At 42.6% G+C, this 25432-nt stretch overlaps 1 protein-coding gene across 9 annotated transcripts in view; it reads left to right on the forward strand.

The window, feature by feature from the left end:
- Positions 1-25432, forward strand: part of RPH3A (rabphilin 3A) — a 323646-nt gene that overhangs the window by 236474 nt on the left and 61740 nt on the right. For 6 of the 9 annotated variants that reach the window (NR_145127.2, NR_145126.2, NM_001347952.2 and 3 more), the window contains exons 3-4: positions 16592-16680; positions 24782-24793. Coding sequence is in view for 6 of the 9 variants with exons in the window: in NM_001347952.2 (NP_001334881.1) it covers positions 16610-16680; positions 24782-24793 (83 nt within the window). In the remaining 3 variants the exon portion in view is untranslated. The remainder of the gene's footprint in view (positions 1-16591; positions 16681-24781; positions 24794-25432) is intronic. The other 3 variants (XM_047428540.1, NM_014954.4, NM_001347955.2) reach the window with 2 other exon arrangements.

The following is a 25432-nucleotide window of genomic DNA, read 5'->3' on the forward strand; positions in this document are numbered from 1 at the left end:
AATTTTAGCAAGTAGGCAAATTTGCAAATGTGGAATTCACAAATAATGAGTATTGGCTATGTGTGTGTATGTATCTGCATTCATCATGACTATATTGATTGCAAACCTTACTCAAACTAGTTCAAGTGATACCAAAGGACACTTATTTGCTAATGTAATTGAAGGGTCCCGCACATGGTGGAGGCATGACTGGATCCAGAGGCTCAACAATAGGCTAGAACTGAGTTCTCATCATCTCATCGTTCTGCTTTCTTCTGGGTTGGCCTCCCTTTCAGGCAGACTTCTCCGCCTGGTAGAACCCACCAAGTCCAAGTTTGTCTCATCCAGCTTCAGTTTAGCAGAAAAAAAAAAAAAAGAGCATCTCCTTTCTAGGATTGCAACAAAAGTCTGAGCATTGAGTCTAATTGGCTTGGATTGGGGAACTTAACCAACTTTGAGTCAATTATATGTAGTTACAAGGGGGAATATGCTGACTGGTGAGGCCAGAGTCATGTGAGAACCCCTGGAGCTAAGAATTGAGGCCAGCCCCATCAGAACACCACGGTCTGAGGGAAAGGATGGCTCCTTTAAAAACAAAACCAAACCAGGGTGTTAGTACCAGGAGAATGAGGAACTGGTGTCCACTCCCCATACCTCCATGGAACTTTCAGTCCTGTGGAGGATTATTTCTTGAACCAGTGAAGGCTAAGCCATGAGCTTCTGAATCCCAAATACATTAAAAATTCAGAGAAGAAAGAATGGATTGAAGAAGGCATTACAGGACAGATGAGAGTTGAGCTAGGATTTTAGGGCTTACAGGGAGAAACCAGCATTTCAGGGTGTGAAAAAAGTTTTACATCATTCTATGCCATCTTGATAGCTGCATGAATCTCACGGAGAAGAGTAAGTCAAGTCATACATGGTACATGGTTGGTGGATCCCAGCTTGTAGAAAGTGTGTCAATTTCTGATTCTATCCCCTTCTCTCTCTCTCTCTCTCTTCCCCTCTCTCCCTCTCTCCCTCACATACACACAAAACCCCTTTGTATATTTATTCATTCACTAAAACTGGGGAGAGGAGGAGAGGAGTAATGTGTATGTGCTACTGTCTATGGTGCTGAACTACAGCTCTGGCCTTCTGATTTCTATCTCTTTGCAAACCTTCTTTGAGCCAATGTATACAAATTACTTAGTGCAATCCCTGGCACACAGTAGGTGATAACTACATTATAGCTCTATTTGGCAGACTTGATATCTGGAGATGACCACAAGGGTGACTTCATCCTCTTTATTTAACCATGTGCCAGGCATTGTTCTAAGCACTTTACAAGTACTAACTCATTTAATCCTTTAACATCCCTGTAAGATAGGTGCTGTTATCATCCTTGTTTTTCTTAGAAGGAAAGAAAGGCATAGAGAGGTTAAGTAACCATCTTAACATCACACAACTAGAAAGAGGCAGAGTGGGGACTTGAATCTTGACAGCTCAGCACCTCTCAGCCTCTGCACTCTTTTGCCTCCAGTGATTTGAGTCATAACACCCGCCTGCCTGGGTGATTGGGGAGACCAAGGGCTTTGTAAATTGCAGAGTTCTCCATCTACAGTACTTGATGTTTTGAGGGTTGTGTTCACAGGGGCAAGAAGAGGAGAAGAGGAAGATTGTGGTCCATTCATGTTCTCCAGCCAATACTGGCCAAGGTTTTATTTTCTGTTTCTTTACCCCACCTGGTGCCTGGAAAGGAGGGGGGAATAGATAGAGGCAGGCCTTGAAGATTTATTGTTCATGAGAACTAAGAGAAGCTTTTCACTGTTTCTGAAGTGGCCTTGGATTTCTTAAAATCCACACCCCAGGGAAGTGAACACAGCTGGACTGTGTGAGGCAGAAAGCGTACTTCCTGTGACTAGAGACTGTGCTAAAATGTGATTCGGGAGAGGTGCGGTTCTGGAAGAACACCTGGACAATGCCTAGTGAGGGTTTTGCCTGAGCTGGTACAGGACTAGATGCTCTCTGTGTTACTTTTTGCTGCAACCTCAAAAAAACCCACAAAAGTGGGTGCTGCTACATCCCCCACGTAACAGTTGAGGGAACGGAGGCTCTGAAAAGTTAAGTAATTTGCCCAGGCTCAGACAGCTTAGCTGGGGGTTGAACACAGGTCTGTGTAACTCTAAAGCCTGGGCTGTTGCTCACTGCCCTTGATGGGAGATAGTATGTTGAAATGTGTACTGTGGGTGGAAATGAGGGTGTTGTGTTTGTATGATTGTGTGTGTGTGTGTGTGTGTATAGTGGAGTTGAGAGTGGTTGGAGAGTGGGTATGGTGGGTATGGAGTAAACTAGGATGTGGGAGTGGGGTGTGTGTGTGTGTGTGTATGTATGGGGTATATTTATGTGGGAGTGTGCACGAGTGTGTAGGGGAGGATGTGGAGTGTGGGTGGGGATGTGAGTGTGTGTATGTGCGTGTGTTTGCAGCAAGGTGAGAAGATAAGAAGAGCCCTTTCCTGGCCCATCTTAGGCCAGGATACTTCAGCTTTCTGTTATGTAACAGAAACTAGTTCTTCCTGCTTGATCACAGGGTCAGGCCAAGTCAAATGCCCCCTATATGTGGGGCATTTTAACCACATATAAGAGAGAAGAGTCTGTGAACTTGAGCCATTCCTTTTCAAATACAGAAAGGGGTAGTTTCAGGAAAGCTCATCACCCTCTTTATGACAGCCCCAACAAGTGGTTTTGCTGTTTGTGCTTGATTACCTCCAATGATGGGGAGCCTATTATCTATCAAAGTAGCATGTTTTCATTTTGATGGGGCTGATGGTTAGAAAGCTGTTTCTTATCTCACGCCAGATTCTCTCTTACTGGACCTTCTACTCAGTGGTTCCAGGTCTGGCTGGGTGGCCAGGTTGTAAGAGTGGTTATCTAGACTAGTGATTAAGACTGCAGGTATTAAAGGGAGAACATCTGGGTTTATAACTCACTGACTCCACCATTCCTTCCTGGTGATCTTGGGCAAGTTAATTCACCCCTCTGAGTGTGAGAAAGGGGAATAACTTCAGAGCCCACCTCACAGGATAGTGGTGAAGATCAAATGAGGTTGTATATGAAAATTGCCCACCTGAAGACTGGTGCTGTTCATTTCTACACTACATCCCACCTCTGCAGACCTGTGAAATGCTGACACTCAGGGCAGGATAGTGAGCTGGCCAAGAACACATGTTCTAGAGCCACACTGCTGGGACTCCAAGTGTGGCGCCATCATTTATTAGCTGTGTTATCTGGGCAAGTCCTTAACGTCTCTAGGCTTGGAGGGGCTGGGAGGCAATGTAAGTGGATGCGGGAGAGAAAGGGCCGGATGGAGAGGTCCTCCTGACAAAAGCTATGACCTTCAGAAGAATATACCCCAGCCTGTCTCTCCTCCCTCCCTCCAGTCTCCTGCTGGTGCCTCCCATTGGACAAACCCAACCAGAAGCCAGAGGGCCAGGAGCCTGCTGGTGCTCACACACGGGTCAGCCTCCCAGGGCACAGAGCAGGATGGAGGATGAATGGGTCTGGAGGCGCAAATAGAAATTATCAAGCAAAGCTACTTTATTATTAAGTTGAACCACATGACGCTGCCATTATGCAACCATTTTTGTACTATAAAAATAGCAAATTAATATGTTTAACCCAACAAATAATAGAGCAGGAGAGTCAGGAGCCTCATTTATATGAGACCCATATTTGAGTCACTGGACCAGCATGACCTTGACAAACCTTGGCCTCAATTTCCTGGCCTATAAAATGGGAATGCTATGTCTCCCATCTAAAATTTGTGAAATGCCCCTCAGATGTGAGGACCAGGACTGCTGCCATTTTTTAAAGGAGAAAAATGCCCCTCTCTGCTGTGAGCATTTTGTCTCTGAGGCAGAGGAGGGAGCAGGACGCCATTTGTGGTCTTCCGTGGCTTGATGAGATTTAGAGCTGCAGATAAGTCAACTCCAGCTGAGTTTTAATCAGAATGAATTTCACTGCAGCCTGGGCCTGAGTGGCAGCCAGGGGCCATTAAGCTAAATGACTTGTTTTAATATGGAGACCTGTCTAATCACATTTTCTGTGTGGGGCCAGTGTGTCTGTGTGTGCATGTGTTGAGTGCTGAAATCAATTCTGAGCCTTTGCCTTTTCCCTGCTTACCACAATGTAGCTGGGGCAGAGATAAGCCAGGTTAACAGCATGACAAAAGCAAGTTTCCGCTTTATCAAGGAATTGGGTAATTGGCTGGACCATGCAGGGAGCCCTGAAGAGTGTTCTGTTGAACGATGTCTGGTGTTAAGGTTTTGTAGACACAGGGCTCACAGAGACTCCCATAACCCAGGGGAGGAAGGAAAAGTTTTGGGTTCCCCTATCCAGCAGGAGACATTCGCCTCAGGAAGGTCAATCCTGGATGCTCTGCCCTGCCTCCAGTGGAGTCATGTACTATATTTATTTCTGTGGGCTCATTTCAAATGCACGCTCTGTTGTGACCTCCTGGCTGCACGTCTTCCAGCAAATGACTTTACCCCTCCAGGCTTCAGTTTCCCCATCTGTAAAAGTGGGTCATGTAAGATCCTGTTTTCTACGATCATTACCAAGATCAAATAAGACGTTGCATGTGAAACATTTGGTGCAGCTTCTGGCCCATAGAAAACACAGGCAGGCTGGGTTAGGTTGTGCTGTGCTGACCATTTCCAAAGTTTCAGATTTGTTTCTCACTCATACTACTTGGATATGGTGAGATAACAGGGGATGTCTTCAGAGCTGGGACCCAGGCTGAGGAAGGCTCTATCTTCATATGTACATGATTGTCCAGATAGGAAAAGGGTAATGTGGTGAGTATGCACTGGCTTTGAAGCTTCCACTTGGAAACGTTCTTTGGTCGAAACAGGTCATGTGGCCACTCCCAGCTTCCCCAGGGAAAGGGAGGGCCAATCTCACCACACAAGTCATTAACACTAAAGACAACGACGGTACTCAACAAATGACCCACGCTTGAGAATTATATTATTATTATTATTATTAGTGTATTACTATTGTAGTTATTTCCATAATCCATCATTGTTTTCCTCCATGTACTTACTCTGGTTTCAGAAAGGCTGAGATATTTCATTCCAGTGCAGAAACTGGACTCCCATCTCTTAGGAAAACATAACTGAGATTATTATTCATAATAAATTAAGGATAGCTTCTACTTGACAACGGCATGTTTTGTGCCAGGCTCTGGACTAAGGACTTCAGATAAGTGATTTCATTTAATCCTCACAGTTCCATTTTGAGGTGGGTTCTGTTTTTGTCCCTGCTCTACAGATGAGGAAACTGAGGTGTTGGAAGGTAAGTAAACTTGCCCAAGGTGACCTGGCTCATAAATGGAAGAATGGACTTGAACCCCAAACCCATACCCTTAGTCACCTTGCTGAGCTGTCTGCTAAGAGCAGGGGATCTTAGTCTCTGGATCTTCAAATGGAAGTTGGGGTTGGCTGAGTGGAGATGCTATGCACTATCATTGTTGATCCACAGAAATAGGGATTCAGCCCTGGCCCCACTTTCTCTTTTTAGCCCTGTTTCCCCTTCCTCCCTGTCTTCCATCTACCCAGGATCCATCCCCATGGGTCTTTCTATTCCCAAAATGTTTCATGTCCATTGCAGCCTCTGAACCCTGTTTACTCACTTCCCCATCCGTTCCTCCATCCTTTATCCTCACACACCCCAGCTCAGCCTTCAAGGTCCAGCCCAAATGTTCCCTTCTCTGGGAAGACACCCCCACCCCCACCCCAGGCAGAACCAATCCCACAGTCTGTCAGCTCCCAGGGAATTTTATACATTTACAAAATATAAATCTTTTCTAGAAATGCACACGTGTGTGTGTGTGTGCACCCCCCACCCCCCGCACACGCAGCCTTTTTAGAGGAGGGAAGAAATTGGTCTTTGCTTTTAATTAATGCCAGCTCTCTCATCCTGACTTTTAATACTGCCACCTCATTTGTCTTATTAAGTAGTTAGTTTTGCTTTTAATTAGTGTTGTTTATTGTCACTGAATTTTAATTGTCGTTGTAAGGTCTCAGCGGGCCTTAGTGGGGATGTATTAGAAACACTTTCTGTCCTCCAAGGAGCTTGGATGGCAGTGCCTCTGAGGTAGAGGAGGGAAGGATTCAAGGGGGTTGCTGAAGGCTGGTGTATTTTTCTCCAGGCTTCAGTCAATTCTGGTTGTCTTTGGAATCCCTGTTTGCTGCAAGGTAGCTTGGTCTCACCCAGAAGATACACAGAGAAAACTCAGGAAAATGGCAGGAATTTGATTCAAATTGGACTTGAATTTGACTTCTCAACTTAAGAAGAACAAAAGGCCGGGCATGGTGGCTCACGCCTGTAATCCCAGCACTCTGGGAGGCTGAGGCGGGCAGATCACGAGGTCAGGAGATCGAGACCATGGTGAAACCCCGTCTCTACTAAAAATACAAAAAATTAGCCGGGCACAGTGGTGAGCGCCTGTAGTCCCAGCTACTCGGGGGGCTGAGGCAGGAGAATGGCGAGAATCCGGGAGGCAGAGCTTCAGTGAGCCGAGATCGCGCCACTGCACTCCAGCCTGGGCGACAGAGTGAGATTCTGTCTCAAGAAGAATAAAAAAAAAAAAAAAAAAAAAAAAGAAGGGTGGAGAGGGGACATATTGGTCCATAGTAGCCCAAAAGGCTATGATAGATTGATAGATTCAGGCATGGCTGGATCCAGCATTCCAACAGCATCATCAGGAATCAGTCTCTATCTCCCAGCTTTTATCCTTTACCAGGCTTTTCTTGTGTGTTGGCAAAAGTGATCAATAGCAGCTATAGAATTCTGTTCTATCAGTTTAGCAGCCCAATGGAAAGAGAATGCTTCTTTCCACATAGTTCCAGCAAAAGACCAACTCAGGTCATGTACCTATCCTTGAACCAATCACAGCAGCCTAAGGGGTGTAATACACTGATGGGCCAGGCACAGGTCATTGGCCCACCTCTAAGGACTAGGGTTGGATGAGCCCCACCTGGACCACACAGATTGATACTGAGAGAGGATGTTTTCCCAAAAGAAAATTGGGGTGACTTTACCAACAAAAGGCTATCCAGATAAATGCTGGGTAGGCAAATGCAATAGATGTCTACCCTAGAGATCCACTGCAGTATCTCACTCAGGCTTAAGCAAACACCTAGGATTTAGACCTTTGTTTCTCTCCCCAGCTCTGCCCTCAAATAACACTAACAGTGTCCTCCCTGACTGATACTTGGAAAACACTTTAAATTACAAGGCCCCTTCACATGAATTAACTCATTGGTTCCTCTCAACAACCCTGCAAGACAGGCATAAGAAGAATATATATATATATATTTGAGATATGTATATATGTGTGTATATATATATATTTGAGATATATATATGTGTGTGTGTGTATATATATATATTTGAGATGGACTCTCACTCTGTCACCCAGGCTGGAGTGCAGTGGCATGATCTCAGCTCACTGCAACCTCCACCTCCTGGGTTCAAGCGATTCTTGTGCCTCAGCCTCTTGAGTAGCTGGGATTACAGGCATGCACCACCATGCCCAACTAATTTTTTTGTATTCTTAGTAGAGAGAGGGTTTCATCACGTTGGCAAGGCTGGTCTCGAACTCCTGGCTTCAAGTGAGCCACCCACCTCAGCCTCCCCAAGGCTGGGATTACAGGTGTGAGCCACCGTGCCTGATTAAGAATAGGAATTTTTACATCCTCATTTTACAGATGCAAAACTTGCTTAGAGTCATGCAGAGACTAAAAAGGGGAGGTAGGATTGGATCCCAGTGCTCTGGGTCTGAAGCCAGCAATTGTCTCACTGCAAGAGGCTGCTTCACCAGCCAGTTTTTGCTGTGTAACAAACCACCCCACAAAATAGTGGCTTAGAACAACAACCATTTATTTACCTTATGATTCTCTGGGTTGGCAATTGGGTTGAGTTCAGCTGGGTTCAGCTAGGCCAAACTTGGATGATCTTGGCTGGGCTTGTTCGTGTGTCTGTGGTCATCCTGTATTTTGGCTGGGACTGGCTGGTGTGTGACAGGACAGCCTTAGCAGCTTGGACAGCTGTGGCCTCTTGCCTTATGATTGCTCATTCTCCAGCAGGCTAGCCTGGTTTCTCAAATGGTGATTGCAGGGTTGCTAAAAAAATAGCAAAAGAGACCAGGCTCTGAAGGGCTAGTATTTCCAAGCCTCTGAATGCATCACATCTTCTACTGTCCCGTTGGCCACAGAAAGTCTTAGAGCCAATTCAGATTCCGTGGGTGGGGAAATAGATTTCACCTCTGGATGGTAGGAGCTGAAAAGGACAAGGATACAGAAAGGGAAGACATGGGGCTATTTTTTGTGATCAATTCACCCCATCTGCAGTGAGCTTACCTCTCTATTTCCTGAGCTGGGGGAGAAAGAGGGTACCAAATACACCTTTAGGGAGCAATGCTGGTGGAGGAAATTTGGAGCACCGTGAAATCTATGGAAGCATTTAGTGCTTTTCCAATCACATCATATAAGTTATGCTCCACTTTAGCTGCTGGAGAGAACGAACACTGATGGACGATGATGGAGATATTGATAATAGTGACAATAATTAATGTTTACTGAGCACATACTATGTTCCAAGTACCACGTTTTCTTTCTTGCCTTCATTTTCAAACCCCATTCTTCACAACAATCCTGGAGGCAGCATAGTAGAGTGATTAAACATGCAACATTGCATCAGATCCTGTAGGTACAAATCCCAGATCTGCCGGTCGCTGGCTGGGTGGGTAAGTCACTTAGTCTTCTAAGCCTCGGTATCTCCATCTGCAAAATGGAGATAATACTTGTACCTTCCTTAATGGGTGTTTGGGAGAGTTCAATGAAGCCATCCACTGCAAGCATTTAGTCCAGACCCAGGTACAACCTAAGCAGCCATTATGATGAAGTAGGTAGTGCTGGGATGACCATACTCATTTTATCAATGAGGAAACAGGCCCACAGACATTATGTATCTGCCCAAGGCCATGCAGCTTGTAAGTGGCAGAGCAGTGGAGGATGAACTCTGTGCCTACTTTAAAATCTGTGAAATGGGGACTGTCCTGTGGGGTTATTTAGAGGCTCATGGCAGGCACCATCTGTTATTGCTATGTGGCAATGGGAGAACCATATGGAGGGGACAGTGAGTTTGCTTTGTTGTTTCAAGGCCAGGAACACAAAGTCACCTTTGTCTCTAGGACCTCCCAGGCCTGTCTCTGTCATTGTCTCTGGCACCAACCAGATTGGCATGGAAGGAGCCAAGCTCTTGTCGTTTCAGCCTTAGTCGGCTTCAGGGAAGGCTGAGAATGTCCCAGCTGGCTCTAGGAACAAGGAAAAGCCAACAGCAGCCTGTACCGTCTGGACGGGACTGGATGTGTAAGGGCTGCTGGAGTCCCATGAGAGAAGGCAGGAATGACCAGGCGGGCAGGCAAGTGAAGGGGCACTCGGCTCCATCAAGCACAGTAGACAAAGCAGGAGGTCGCCGTCTTTCTCTTTGGTGTCCCAAGTGTCCTTGTCATAGTAAGGGTTTGTAGAAATCCCAACAGCCTGGAAAATAGTCAACTCTGGATGCATATTTGAGATGGAATAGAATATACTCAGCTTGCATCACTGTTCAGAGGCTTTCTGGGTCTCCTGCATCTCTCAGGCCAGAAGTTTACATGGTCTTCATGATCTGACACCCACCCCCACCACCACCACTCTGATCTCAGCTCCCTCTTGCTCTCTTTACTCCAACCACTCTGTCTTCCTTACCATTTCTCCAACTTACCAAGCACATGCCTGCCCCAGGGCCTTTGCATTTACTTTTTCCTCTGCCTGAAATGCTCTCCCCCAGATGGCCATGTGGCTCAGTTTATTACCCACTTTGGGTCTTTGCTCAAATAGCATCTCTCAGTGAGGCTCCCTCTGACCACCTATTTAAAATCACACTTCCCCCCAAGTTCCCAATCATCCTTCCCTCTTTTATTTTTCTCTAAAGCACTCATCACCTGTGGACACATTTAATATTCTACTTGTTTGCTTATTGTCAGTCTTCCCTACTAGAAGGTATGTTCCATGAGGACAATAATTTTTGTCTTTGTTTGTTTTAATGTTATATCCCCTGTGCCTAGAACAGTGTCTGGCACATAGTAATGGTAAATGTTCCATAAATATTTTTTAATTCTTCTAATTTCCCAAGAGAAGCTGGCAATCTGTGTTTTTAATTAAATCCTGCGCTTTTAAGATATTGATTGAATTTTACCCTTAAAAAAAAAAAAACCCCTTCATGGGCCAAACAAAACATTTTCAGCCTGGATTCTGTTCATGGACACTCGTGCTTCCCCCAATGTGAGGCCCTTTTGTTAAAGTACATTTTCCACCCCATCAAATAGTCAGAGTGATTTTTTCCAGATACCTAGTTGAGCAGTGATATACTGCACTCAGGGGAAGAGACAAGGGGCAAGGAAAGAGATCAAGAGATGGAACTGTCTGGGCATTGTCCAAACTTGTGGCTGCAGGTTCTGCTGCAAAGCGTCTGGTTTAATTCCAAGACTGTTGGGATAGGGAGGCCAACTGTGGCATTGAACTCCACGCAGACAGCTGCAGCTCCTGCCGGTTCCCTGCAGTGCCCTGAAGTGCTGCATAAAATCCCTGCCAGCCCAGCCCCGCTGGGTCACGTTCAGACACCTGCCACAGCAACTCAGAAACTAAATAGGCTTTGCGTTGTTTTTTCCATTCAACTACAACTAGCAGAAAACCCTGGAGATTTTGGGGGATGGAACCACTGTTCCTTAGCAAGCGATGCTAAGGAGAGCCAGGGGAGAAGCAGGCAGAACCAATGGCAAAGGAGGAGAAGGGAGGACCCTGGAATCTGGGTTACCTGGGGTTAGGACAGAGTCTTTGTAGCAGTCTGAGATTCCAGGTCTGAGATTCAGTCTAAGATTCAGATTCATCCAGCTATCCAGTGCTTATTATTAGACGTTTAGATTGTTTGAAGGAATTTAAGCAGAACCTTGGAAAGTTCACTTAAACTTTCCTCAACTCAGTTATCCCATCTGTAAAATGGGACAAGAAGAGCACATACCTCATAAGGCTGTTGTGAGGATTGAGGAGATAAAACTTGAAAGGTGCTTAGCATGGAGTAAGCCCTTGATATTTGAACTTTCAGTTGTTGTTGTTGCTTCTTTTGTTACTGAAAGTAGATGATTCTTTAGAGTTTGTACAAGGACTGTAGGGGAATTTCTGTCCAGCTAAGAAAGAAGAGCTGGAGTCTCTGGTTTCAGGAGAAGAAGTCATTTTATGCTTTTGAAGTTGCAGCTGCAGGGCTGGATTTAAGCCACTGCCTTGGCCTTACCCAAGCCAAAGTATGTGATCTCTCAGTGTAGCCTGGGAGAGGGCTGGGTGGGTAGGTATCTCTTTGTCTCTGAGGCTGAGAGGTGAAAATGCACCCAGGGGCCAGAGGGCCAGGAATGGACAATCACCAATCCTCTAGACACTTATCAGAACCCAACAATCCAAAGCCCAGGGGCAATGAACGGGTGTGAACAGAGTAGTGAGTAAGCACATGGGCTTTGGAGTCAGGGTCCAAACCCCAGTTCTGCTACTTGGTAGCTGTATGATTTTGAGCAAGTAGCTTAGCCACCCTGAGCCTGAATTTTCTTACCTGTAAAATGAGGATAATACCATCTACCTTGGAGTAGGATTGTAAGGAGTAAAGCAAATAATGTAGGTATGGAATTTGGTGCATAGCAGGTGCTCAGAAAATTGTAAGTCATCATCCTATACCCGATAAGTATAGGAGAAGCAGGAAAAGAGAATTACCACTTTACAAGTCTTTGCTGTGTGCTAGGGAGTGTAGCTGATGCTTACTTAAACTTATCAGCTCAGTGATGCCAAGTTTCTGCAGTGGTCCTAGGGCTGGAATTTGGTACTATTTATGTGACACTTACATTTATACTTTTGCTTCTTGTATCCATGGTTGGTTTCCTTCTTCTGGTGCTCCCTGGGCCTCAGGCCTCCAGTCTATTATGACGATGGTTTCTCTGTAGTGAGTGATGGGAAAGTGGGGAGTGGTTTGAGAATGTCTGAGGTTCACCACTAGACTTTCTCCATTTCTGTTGACTCACCCTCAACTCCTCATGAAGAGTTGGCTTTCATGAAGTATCATCTGCAGGCCAGTAGGAAAACATCTTAGGAGAACATTTTAGGATCACGCTGTGTTGGATTAGAAAACAGCTAAGTGACCACTAGGGGTGATGTAATGAGCTCGTGGAGCAGAACCATGCTTCCCTGAGATTCTCCTGTCTCCTCCCACACAAGGTCAAGTTCCCTAGAAGCAGAACCTGAGATGTGCATTCTTGTACTAGTGATGGACTCAGGGAGTGCTCCAAGGAGGAACCTGCTAGGGAATGAGGGAAGCAGGAAAGGGCAGCAGAGGAAGCTAGGCGAGGGCGTGGCTTCACCTGAAGTCTGGCCTCAGCCCAATCCTCAGGGAGCTCTGGAGTGTGATGGCAGCACACAGCCGTCTTGCCCTAGAAGAAGGGGGCTGTACTTTTCTACCCTCCTCTTATTCATTAGCCATTGGCTTTGTGCTGCTCCCTGGTATCTCTGGGCAAAGCAGCTCCTGTTGGATGAGGGCGATTCTCTGGAAAATGGTGCTGCTATGAGCCCTTAGTGTAGCCCTTCATGGCTAACACTCCTAGAGGCTGGGATTGGGAGGATGCACCAGCTGTAGGGGGGATCCAGATGAGGAATCAACAGTGACTATTAGGGTGCCTCCCCCCAACTGCATCTCCACCTCCATCCCAGATCTGCCGGTGGACACATGCCTTCCTGTCCCTGGGCCTGTTTCTCTAGTTGTTCAAATATCCTTGATTGCTTGAACATTTTCCTCTTCTGGTCCAGGCCTGGTAGACTGGGGTAAGCACCAGATAAAGAGTCCAATCCTGGGATGTTAAGTGCATTGAGAGTCCCAAGTGGCCAAGCTGAAATAACCAGGGCTGTCCAGGGTGGCTTCTGGCCTGGAGGGATGGAGCTGGGTGGTTTCCACTGGGTGGTCAGCCAGGGAGTTTAGACTTTGCAGGTGGAATTTTAGTGGGAAACATACCCCTGGTGTGCGTGACTGAACAAAGGAGAGTGCGAGCAGGCCAGATTCTGCCCTGAGGATGATGGAATTTGGAGATCAGAGTTCCTGGGAGGTGATCATGTGTCTCCTTTATCCCAGACCTACCTTCCTCCCAGGATCTCCAAGGCCAGTGTCTTCTCTCTGCTGCAAAGCAGAAGATGAAACCTTCAGTTACAGTTTCAGCTTTCTAGACCAACTGCAGCCGAGGAAGCTCATTCTCGGGGACTGAGCCTCTTTGCACTCAGCAGGGGCCAGAGGTCCTCCAGGTGGGGGGCTCCAGGGAAGCCTGCTCAGCTCTCACCACAGGCAATAATGAGACATTAAAGTTCTTTTTCAGCAAATTTCTTTCACAACAGGAGCTGTCTCTCCTTTCTGTTTTTGAAGTAGAAACAATGAAATGCCCATATTAATCTGGGAAGATGATGTTAACCACATGGGAGCAGATGAAATAGCTTTACTGTAAGGGATCTTCTCTGCTACGGGTCCAACCAGCATTCCCCTCCGGTTTCTCACACACAAAGATTGAATAATTACAAAGGATACAGGACAGGAGAGGGAGGTCACTGTGTGTTCACCTCCCAAGTTATCTATTCAGCGTCACAGGAAACAAGACCTACAGGGAAATCAGGACCCCCTAGACACGCCAATCTACTTTCTATTTGTTTTTAAAATAATTACTGCAATCTCCACGTGGTCTCTCCCCCCCTTACTCTTGGTGGGACCTTCAGAGGGGTGGGGTCGGGGGCAGGTTCAGAAAGAACGGAAGCCTGGCTGAGTTGAGCCGCACTGACAGTGTTGATGGAGACTCTTTCACACATTCAGCAAATTTTCATTACGTACCTTCTAGGCGCCAGACTCTATGCTAGTGTTGGAGATTAAGCAGTGAACAAAACGGAAAAAGTTCCGCACGGCTTACATGTTAGCAGGGGGATTCAAGCTCTAAGCAAAGACACAAACATAAAAATAAACAACTTATATTAAATTGGGGTAGTGATAAGAGCTAGGAGGAAAACTAAATCAGAGTAAAGGAGGCCAGAATGGAGAAGCGGGAGGAGGAACTATTTTATTTATTTATTTATTTAGGTCATTTTCTTTTTCTAAAAAATACATATTTTATTTTAACTTCTAGGGTACATGTGCAGGATGTGCAGGTCTGTCACTCAGGTAAACGTGTGCCATATGGTAGTGTGTTGCACCCATCAGCTCATCACCTAGGTATTAAGCCCTGCATGCATTAGCTATTTATCCTGAAGCTCTCCCTACACCGACCCCGCTGTGGGAGCTGTTTTAAACTGAGCGGTCAGGGAGGCCCTCTTGGACGAGGTGCATTTAGGAATAAACCTACACGAAGGGATAGAGAGAGCCAGACAGGCATCTGCAAGAAGGCTTCCGGGCTGAGGGAAGAGCAAGTGGGAATGTGCTGGGGATGTTGAGGGAGCAGCAGGAAGGCCTTTGGGGCTGGGAAAGAGGGCGTGAGAAGAGTGGAAGGAAAAGAGAAGGAGGCTGCAGGGAGCCAGCGTGTGCTAAGGGGTTTAGATTTTAGTCTAGGAGCAACAGGGAGCCATTGAAGACTCTTGAGCAAAAGAGTGACATAACTGACTTGCTTTTTCGGGATGAAGGGAAGGCCATAAAGTACACACATCTCAAGAGTTTAGCTTGATGGCCTTTGCAGATGTATATACCTGGTTAGTGGCCACCCAGATCAAGATATGGAATATCTTCACCCCATGGAGGCCCCCTTCTGCCCCTTCTGAATCAATAGCCTCCCCAAAGTAAGCAATTTATTTGCCCCAATTTCTGTCACTACCAAATAGCTTTGTCTTTTCTTAACTCTTGTGTCAATATAATCAAACAGTGTGTTCTCTTTTGTTCCTGGCATCTTTCACTAAACATAACATCTATGGGTTCATCCATGGTGTTACATGCGCTGTATCAGAAGCTTGTCTGTCATTGCTCACCAGCATTCCACTGTACAAATAAACCACAATGGCTTTATCTGCTCTCTGTTGATAGGCATTTGGATTGTTCCTGTGTTAAGCTATTATGAATAAAGCTGCTATAAACATTCTTGTACATGTCTTAGAACATAAGCACTTTTTTCTTGGGTGTATACCTGAGCATATTTCTCAGGTATATACCTGAGTAGAATTCCTGAGCCACAGAGTAGATGGACTTTTAGCTAACAGATACTGCCAAACAGTGTTCCAAAGTGGTGACACCATTTTTTTCAGCTTTATTGAGATATAACTCACAGATAATATAATTCACCCATTTAAAGTGGACAATTCCGTGGCTTTTAGTATTCTCACAGAGTTGTGGATCCATCACCATCATCAACTTTAGAATATTTTCACTGTCCTTACAAAGAAACGCTGCACCCCAGCACCTCCCCCAGCCTGGGCAACCACTAATCTCATTTTTATCTTTTATAGATTTTCCTATTCTGTATACTTTATATAGGTGGAATCTCAAAATATATGGTGTTTTGTGTCTGGCTTCTTTCAGTTAGCATCATGTTTTCGAGGTTCACCTATGTCATAGCGTATGTCAATACTTCATCTGTTTTTATGGCAGAATAATGCTACATGGATATACCACATTTTGTTGATCTTCTCATCAGTTGGTGAATACTGGGCTGTTTCTACTTTGTGGTTATTATGAATAATGAATGAAATAGGACAAGGGTAGATGGAGAAAGACCAAGGAGGAGTCAATTGCATTAAGTCAGGCAGGGATAGTGGCAGTTTGGATCAGCATAGTAGCAATGCAGGCTGAAAGGAGTAGGCAGATCCTAAATCTATTTTAAAGATCAAGACAATACCATTTTCTGATAGCTTGGATGTAGAGTATTTTTTTTTAAAAAAGGCAGGGACACATGGACACAGGAAAGGGAACATCACACACCGGGGCCTATCCTGGGGTGGGGGGCCAGGGGAGGGAGAGCATTAGAAGGAATACCTAATGTAGATGATGGGTTGATGGGTGCAGCAAACCACTATGGCACATGTATACCTATGTAACAAACCTGCACGTTCTGCATATGTATCCCGGAACTTAAGTATAATAAAAAAAAAAGGGAAAAAAAAAAGGCAGGGATGACTCCACAACAACTAAGTCAGATGACTTGCTCAGTAGAAAGACCCTGGATTCGAGTTAAGAACTCTGGCCCACACACTGCTGGGGGTGCAGTAGGCTTCCCTCAACATTCCCTCAACAGTGAATGGGAAGAGCTTGGATTTAGGTGAGGGGGTTCTTCCCTCTGGTGCATTTCTTGCCACGGGGTAGCTGTGACTTCCAGCAAGACACTTTCCCTCTTAGGGTCTCAGACTCCCCATCTGGAAAATGAAGAAACTGGATTTAGTTCTCTGTCTTCTCTATCCCACTGGGTGTGTGGCATAAAGCAGGGATTTGGGAACTAAGGAGTGGCTGAATGATGGGGTGATGTCCTCTCTGGATTGATGTTTTCCAGGAGCACTAGACATCTACTATGACTGACACCGTGTTCAGCAACAGTTCTAACCGTTGGATGTACCCCAGTGACCGGCCCCTTCAATCAAAGTAAGTTGCTGCATCTTCCTGGGAGTGGCTTGTTTTGAGTCGATGAGGTTTTGACAATTCTACACTTGAAAAAAAGAAGGAATAGCTTCCTTCCCTGAGGAAGGGGGAGAGGAACCTAATGGGAGTTTAGTCATGAAAACATCTCCCCTAGTTTGACTATTTTGCGAGGTTGGAGGAACAAGATTAAATCCTGAGTTTCATGCTCCATAGAATAGGTGACCTGGTAGACTGGAGAGATAACTGACCTGGTGGTCAGAACCAGACTTGGGTTCTAGTTCTGGATATGAGCTAATTTACTGTGTGATGATAGGCAAATATCTTCCCCTCTCGGGGCCCTAGTTACCTCATCGGTCAAATAAGGAAGTTGCACTAGATCAGAGATTACAAACTGGCAGACTCTGACTTGCAGAAGTGTATGTGTAGGTTTTTTTCTTTTTTTATATTTTGGGACTGATCATGTAAAAATTGGGAGATTTCACACGAAAGTCCAGATTTCTGACATGTCTTCAAAATATCAGAAGACCTGACAACACTGGACTACAATTTTGCCAACAGTTCAACAGAAGACAAGTAGCAGCTCATATATTTAGACTGGCAAGAGCTCTCCAGTTTTCCACTGTCCCCATCATTCCTTGTTGGTCTCTAATACCTGGCCTACTTTGGGCATTTCTGTTACCCACCCATCCCAGTTGGTTTTCCTGGAACAGATGACCTCTAAGTTTCCTTAACTGTGAACTTCTGTCGATCTTATATTAGACGGTATTTTAGGATCAGTTTAAGAGTTTAAATTCTGGGTAGGACAGTTGAGGATACGGTTATTTTTGTAAAAAGAATAAATGTCAGGATGTAGTTGTTGTGGCTTGCCCAAAGAGAAAGGCTTTTTTTTTTTCTTTTTTTTTCTTGAGACAGGGTCTTGCTCCTTTGCCCAGGCTGAAGCGTACTGGTGCAATCATAACTCATTGCCTTGACCTCCTGGGCTCAAGCAATCCTCTTGTCTCAGCCTCCTGAGTAGCTTGGACTACAGGCATGCACCACCACGCCTGGCTAACTTTAATTTCTTTTTGTAGAGATAGGGTCTTGCTATGTTGACCAGGCTAATCTCAAACTCCTGGGCTCAAGTGATCCTCCTGCCTTGGCCTCCCAAAGTGCTGGGATTACAGGTGTAAGCCACCACCCCCAGCCTACAAAGGCTTTTTAGCAAAAATTTTTCCTTATTGGAGAGCAGTGTTTCCCTAAACTTGGTCATTTGAGCACCACTTTTACTATTTTTACCTTATCTATGAAATAACATTATTGTTATTTTCTCTTAATTGGCTACTTATAAAATGTAAACACTCATTTAACAAGAACTTTTTAAATCACAAATGGATGTAAGTGGATAATTAGTTCATGCTTTCTATGAACAAAGGTAGCCATGAAGACAAATAATTAAAAAAAAGTTACTACATTCTAGCTATAAACTGTAGCCTCATAGAGGCTCTGAGCCTGAGACTTGCTTCCCACTTAAAAAGGCAACTAGCAAGTGAAAGACAAGTGTTAAAGTCATATGAGCACTTTCTCCTTGAAGTACATAAGGTTGGAAAGGAGATTGAAATGGGAATGCCTTTCTTATTATTTAATATCACCCTGTCATTTACTGTCTGATTAATTTTTGTTATAATTTCTATTAAATAATCCTTTCTCATTTTCTTAAGTGTATTCTATAACTTTCTAAATACTTGGGTTGTATATTTACCTCTTTAATATAAAACTTCCCTCTTTTCTAATATTAGTAATTATAAATGTGATACCCAAAGTACCACATTCAAATGATCCCACAAGCTTCAACATATAGTATTTTCATTGTTTCTCATTTCTATGTATTTTAAAATTTCTCTTATGATTTCTACTTTACCCCAAGAGTGATTTGGAGGTATATTTAAAAATTTCTAGATGTTTGAGGATTCTTAATTTATTACTTTTTTTGTTATTAATCTCAAATTTAATGGCATTTTGGTTGGAGAATATGACCTATATGATACTTAGTCTTTGAAATGTGTTAAGATTTGGCTTATAACCAGATCTTAGGATATGCTCAATGAGTACATAAGAAAAATGTGCATTCTATAATTATTGTTTGTAAGGTCACTCACATATCAAAATGAGATTATTAATTGTGTTTATAACTTTTTTTACATTTACTGCTTTTTATTCTGCTTGTATTATGTTGAAATCTCCTTCAATCACCATGGATCTGTCAATTTCCCCTTGTGGTTCTGTGAGATGGCTACAGGTTTGGAGTTGATCTATGTTACTGAAAAATTGAACCTTTTATCATTATGTAATGTCTCTCTTTATCTCTAATAATGATTTTTTGTCCTAAACTCCCTTTTGTGATATTAAAAAACAACATCAGCTTTCTTTAGTTTTTTTTTTATCATTTTATTTTTAATCTTTTAGTCCTCTTACGTTTCAGGTAAGCGAGTATAAAGGGTATTTTTAGCCAGATTTTGTTTCTTTTGTTGTTGTTTAATTCAGTGTGGTAATCTTTGTCTTTTAGGTGATGATTTTACCATTTACAGATACTGTAATTATCAGCAAACTCTTTCTGTAAAGGACCAAATAGTAAATATTTCAGGCTTTTCTGGCCATAAAGTCTCCATTGCAACTACTCCACTTTCACTGTTCTAGAGCAAAATCAGCCATAGGCAATATGCACATAAGTGGGCATGGCATTTTTTTTTTTTTTTACATAAAAACAGGCGGCTGACTGTATTTGGCCTGTAGGCTATAGTTTGCCGATCCATTACATAGTTTAACTTTTCTACTCTCTTGTTTTTGTCTCTCTTTTTCTATGGTTCTTTTGTTTCTCTCCTTGTCTTTTATTTTTATTAATTGGTTAATTGGGCTTGGGGGTTTACAAATTCCATTTTTCTCCTTATTGGTTTCAGTCATATGGTTCATTCCTATGATATCCATGGCTATCCTTAAAGTGTTACTATTCATAACTAATCATGTCTGGAGTTACTCACTGTCTCAACATCTTCCTCTAGACAACACAAGGTGATTAAAACACTCTTAACGACATCTTAATTCCGACCCTCCTTACCTACATACGACTCTTCTCTAGTATCTTAGTTTAATCCTTTATTTAACTCCATATATTAGACATTATTATTTTATACTGGCTTTTTTTTTTTAATTTGCCTGTCTTCTAGTTTTTTGGTTCAATGTTCAAATCTTCCTGAATCTTGGTGCTTCTTGGGGCCACTTTACTTCTTCCTGAAGTACAGCTTTTCATTTGGTAAAATTCTGTTGGTAAGCTCTCTCAGACTGTGTGTATCTTAAAACATTGATTTATCCCTTGTTCTTGAAGGTTGCAGCATTCTAGGTGGACTTTGAAGGATTGGTTGTGCTTTCAAGTGTCTGTTAAGAGTCTTAAGCCAACAAATTGCCCTTCCTCTGTAGATGGTTTTTCCTTCCACGTAAGCCCTTCTTTTTGATGTTCTGTAGTATGATGTGCTTAAGTGTGTATTTCTTATTGCTTTTTTCTACTTGGTGCATGTTGTACTTCCTGAAACAGTGGATTCATGTTTTTCAGCATGAAAATTCTAGAAATTTTCTAGTTCTAGAAAATTCTCAGCATTATCTCTTGAAATATTTTTCTTTCTTCGATTCTCCCTATTTTCCCTATCTGGAATCTGATTAGATAAATATTAGACCTCCATGTTGCTTATTCTCTCTCTCACTTTTTTCTTTGAGTTGGGGTCTTGCTCTGTCTGTTCTCTCCTTCGTATTTTATATCTCTTTACCTCTGTGCTGTATTTTGGGTAATTTCTTCACGTCTTTCATCCTGGCTATACTCTGTCTTAGAGCATATTAATTTGCCATTAAACCACCCATTGCATTTTAGAATTTAGTAGTTACATATTTTATTTCTAAAAATTATTCATTCATTTTAATATCTTCTTCACCATTTTTAATCTCTTGCCTCTTGCTTGTTTTCAATCCAAATTTTATTTCTTAAATATTTCACATATAGTAACTTCACATTCTGTATCCAATAATTATACCTGAATCAGTGGCATGCTGGATATGTACCATAAAATCTCATTAGAATGGATGTTAAATTTTCAGGATTTGTGAGCCAGTTAATAAACATGGCCATTATTAAAAATTAAGATATATATTAGCCAGGAACTGTGGCTCACACCTATAATCACAGCAATTTGGGAGGCCAAGGCAGGAGTATCACTTAAGGCCAGGAGTTCGAGACCAGCCTGGCCAACACAGTGAGACTCCATCTCTGCAACAAATTAAAAAAATTAGCTGGATGTTGTGGTGCATGCCTGTGTTCTCAGCTACTCAGGACGCTGAAGCAGGAGAATTGCTTGAACCCAGGAGTTCAAGGTTGCAGTGAGCTATGATTATGCCACCACACTCCAGCTTGGGTAACAGAGAGAGACCCTTTCTCTGAAATGAATAAATAAAGTTATATTTATAGTTAAATGATATTACACACAATGGTGATAAATACTCAAAGTTAAACACATTTCAATTATTTCACTCTTTTTTTTTTTTTTTTTGAGACCGAGTCTTGCTCTTTTGCCTAGGCTGGAGTGCAGTGGCACAATCTTGGCTCGCTGCAACCTTCGCCTCCCAGGTTCAAGCGATTCTTTTGCCTCAGCCTCCAAATGGGGTTTCACCATGTTGGCCAGGCTGGTCTTGAACTCCTGACCTCAGGTGATCTGCCCACCTCGGCCTCCCAAAGTGCTGGGATTACAGGTGTGAGCCACTGCACCTGACCTGTTTTACTACATTTTGATATTCTCTGTTATTTATGTCTATTATGCCTGTAAGGTGGAAATACTATATAAAGGTATGCTGCTGTACATTTCTTCCCAGCTCTTCGTTTAGTCCCATCATGTTGGCATTTGAAATCAGCCTCCATGGGGCTCTTTCCCCAGAGAGTCAGTTGTTAAACATTTACCAGCACAGCACTGCCTGAAGCCTCTGACCATGTAGGTCTTTTATTTGTCTTTCTTGCAGATTTTCATTCATAATTACTTGCGCTTTGAATGCTCAGTCTGTGAGAATCCTAGGGACCTACCTTGGGAACATTTTTCTTCAGAGATATTTACACTTGCTTCTGCCAGGAGTGAGATGTTCTGGTCATCCAGAAACACTTTAGCCCCCTGGAATGTAATGTTGGTATTTGCAGTGGTTTATTGCTCACAGCTCCCTGTTCTGGATTCAGTTTGCTGGATTCCCTTTTTTAAAAATTGCTTTACAGAGGTAGAATTAATATACCTTCAACAGTACACAATTAGGGTAATTTAAAGCACAGTTTGATAATTTCATGTTTTTTTTTTTTTTTTAAAGACAGTGTCTCACTGTGTCACATAGGCCGGAGTGCAATAGCACAACCATAGCTCACTTTAGCTTTGACCGCCCAGGCTCAAACAATCCTCCCATCTTGGCTTCCTGAGAACCTGGGACTGTGGGTGCACATTACTGCACCTGGATAAGTTTTTTTTTAAATAGAGATGAGGTCTTGCTATGTTGCCCAGGCTGGTTCCAAACTCCTGGCCTCCAGTGATCCTCCAGCCCTGGCCTCCCAAAATGCTGGAATTAATGGCATGAGCCACCATCAGCCATAAAAACATGTGTATACCCATGAAATCATCACAGTAATCAAGATAATGGACATATCCATCCATTGCCAAAACTTCTTTGTTACCCTTTATAGTTCCTCCTTCTTACCCCTCCCTCTCCCCACCCATCCCTAAGTCATCACTATTTAGCAATAAATTTGTTTGCATTTTCTGGAATTTCATATAAATGGAATCATCCAGTGTGTACCCTTTTTACAAGGGAGCTGTCTGTCTTTCACTCAGTGTAATTATTTTGAGATCCAATCATATTGTTTTGTATATCAATAGTTTGTTTCTTTTAATTTCTGAATATTATTCCATTATGTGAATATGCCACAGTTCATTTACTCATTTATCCGTTGATGGACCATGGGTTTGGGCTAGTACAAATAAAACTTTGTATAGACACATACTTTCATTTCTTTGGGGTAATTACCTAAGAGTGGAGTGTTTCAGTCACATGGTGGATGCCGGTTTAACTTTTAAGAAACTGTCAAACTGTTTTTCAAGTTTACTGTATCATTTAAAATTTCCACCAGAAGTAGATGAGAGTTCCAGCTTCCCTACCACCTCAGCAGCACTTGGTATGATCAGTCTTCTTAATTTTAACCTTCTTGATGTGTGTATAGTGGTATTTCATTGTGGTTTTAATTTGCATTTCCCTAATAATTAATGATGTTAGACATACTAATATAAAATTTTTTCATTCGTGTAACTTTTTGTTGAAGTATCTTTTCAAATCTTTTGTCCATTTTTAAAATCAGGTAATTCATCTTCTTGTTATTAAGTTTTACAAGTTTTCTTATGTTATAGATAAAATCCCTTGTGGATATACATGTTACAAATACTCTCTCCAAGTCTGTTACTTTCCTTTTCCATAACAGAGTCTTTTGAAGAGAAAAAGTTTTTATTTTAATTCAATCTATTTGGTTTATTTGTTTAGAAAGGGAGAGGGATCTTGGAGAATTTCCTTACTTTCTAGAAATCCCAGAGCTGCATTTTTTTTAAAGTTTGCTTTAATTTTTCTAGGATCTAATTTTATATTGGTGAAGGGTCTTTCTGAATATTTAGTCCACCCATATACTCCACAGCAAATGTCTCATGTCTGTTTACTACTTCTTCTATCTAATACCTCCTCCAGTTCTACAAGTTTTACAGTTTTGAAGACACTATTGAACTCTGTTCGTTTCCTTTTTTCATAGGAAATTGCTAGTTTCCAAAGCCCTTTTCATGATGTCTTCTTGCAGCCAAACTTATTTTACAGAGAATATTTCCTCAGCCAAAAAGTGTGTCTCTGTAAGATAAACAGTTGCCTGAAGGGTGGATGGGGTAAAATATTTATTTTATTTAAGAAATGTCAGTTAATTAAAATTCCATCCATCAGAGTTTACTTTAGTCGATATGAAGCCAAACAATTTGCCTTACAATTAAATTAAAATTATCCAAACAGTCTGGACGCCATTTCATTAAAGTGTTCCTCGGCTCCCATGAAACATCTTGGCATTCTGAATGCATCTGGCTGCTTGATTGCTGCTGCCTCTTCTTCAGATATTAAAATTATTTTCCAATAAATGCTAATGGGTGAATTACAGTCATCACACATGCTATCTAGTCTGCTGCAGTGGTGGTGAACTAATGCAGACACTTATAATGTCTTTCTCCAGTAAATTAACAAATCTAGTCATAATTAACTGCTGGCTAGCTAGATACGCTTCCTGCTTTTGTTATTTTCAAATGTCTTTCTCTCTCACCCTCCTTAAATTTAATGATCATGTTTGAAACCAACAACAGGGGAATTTGAGAGAAATGAATGCGTTTTCTTCTTGCTTGGTTAGGGCAATGGTTCAGTTTTCATGTTAAGAATACATGGGGAGAAATGCTGGTCTTTGACAGTTGATACTTCTATCTAGCATTTAAGTCTGCAAGCCAGAGAGTGCCAGACATGGAAGGAGGAAACTGAGGCACAAAGAGATGATATGACCTGCTTTTGGTTGCTTGCCTCATAATCGGAGATGCTGGTCTCCGGTCTAGAGTGGAAGAACTTGCCTCCCCAAACTGGGGAACTACAAGGTCTACTGTTCAGGGCCGATTGCTCTACCTAGTATGGTCCTTGTCCCCCAGTGTTTGAAATAACAGAAAGCAAGAATGATGATGGCCATGAGATCATTCAGTGATTCCTTTTTAGTGCCCTTAAACCATTATTCAAATACATACACAATCAGCTCAGTTAATTAATAAGCCAAACTGGCTGGTCAATTTAATCAAAGATGTGAATTTCATAATGCTATGTTGAAGCAGCCTTGTGTTAGATATGCTGAAATAAGGTAATAATGGCTGAAACAAAATGGAAGTAGGTCATCATAATTCAAGCTACGTGAGTGTTGCATCCAGACAGTGTAGATATTGTTATGATTTCTTACCTAACTTTATTCATTTTTTCTTTCTCTCCTTTCTCTGCCTTCCTTCAGTGATAAAGAACAGTGAGTATTTTATAACACTTATTTATTTATTTTTTACAAACTGTATTTTATCTCTTTCTCTGATCAAGGTGGCTTTCCCCTAAAGAGAGATGGTTAAAAAAGGAACTAGCAAATTTTAAACATTTTTTTAAAAAGCTAAGTTAAAAAAAACACCCACACCCATCTTAGGAAAAAATATTTATAAAATTAAAAAAAAAACTCATACCAAACTTGATAAAAGGATGGAAGATATTTCTTAGCCCTCAATTCTTGTTAGTGATTTGTAGGATTTCAGCAAGTTTATTGGCCACTCAGTGCCCTTGTTTCTGCAGCATTTTGCTGGAGAACACTGTTCTGCGATAAGGAAAATGTTAACTCTAATAACTGCTACCATGAATAAAAGATGACGATGAACAGGGCAGGGCTCTGGATTGTTATGTGCTGTACATTTGGTCTTTGTTGCCTCATCAGAGGTCATCCTGATTTCCCAGCAAAACACCTTTGAAGCAGAGGCCCTATCTTTTCTCACAACTTTTGTGTTTTTAATTGGATTCATTTCCTAAATATGCATGACAGATTGGATGACGGGTCCAATAAATGAGCAACCAGACTGCAAAGCAGCCCCATCTTCAGTTGCGTGCACACATTCAGAAACTATGG

This window comes from Homo sapiens, chromosome 12 (assembly GCF_000001405.40).
Source record: "Homo sapiens chromosome 12, GRCh38.p14 Primary Assembly".
NCBI classification, from domain to species: domain Eukaryota; kingdom Metazoa; phylum Chordata; class Mammalia; order Primates; family Hominidae; genus Homo; species Homo sapiens.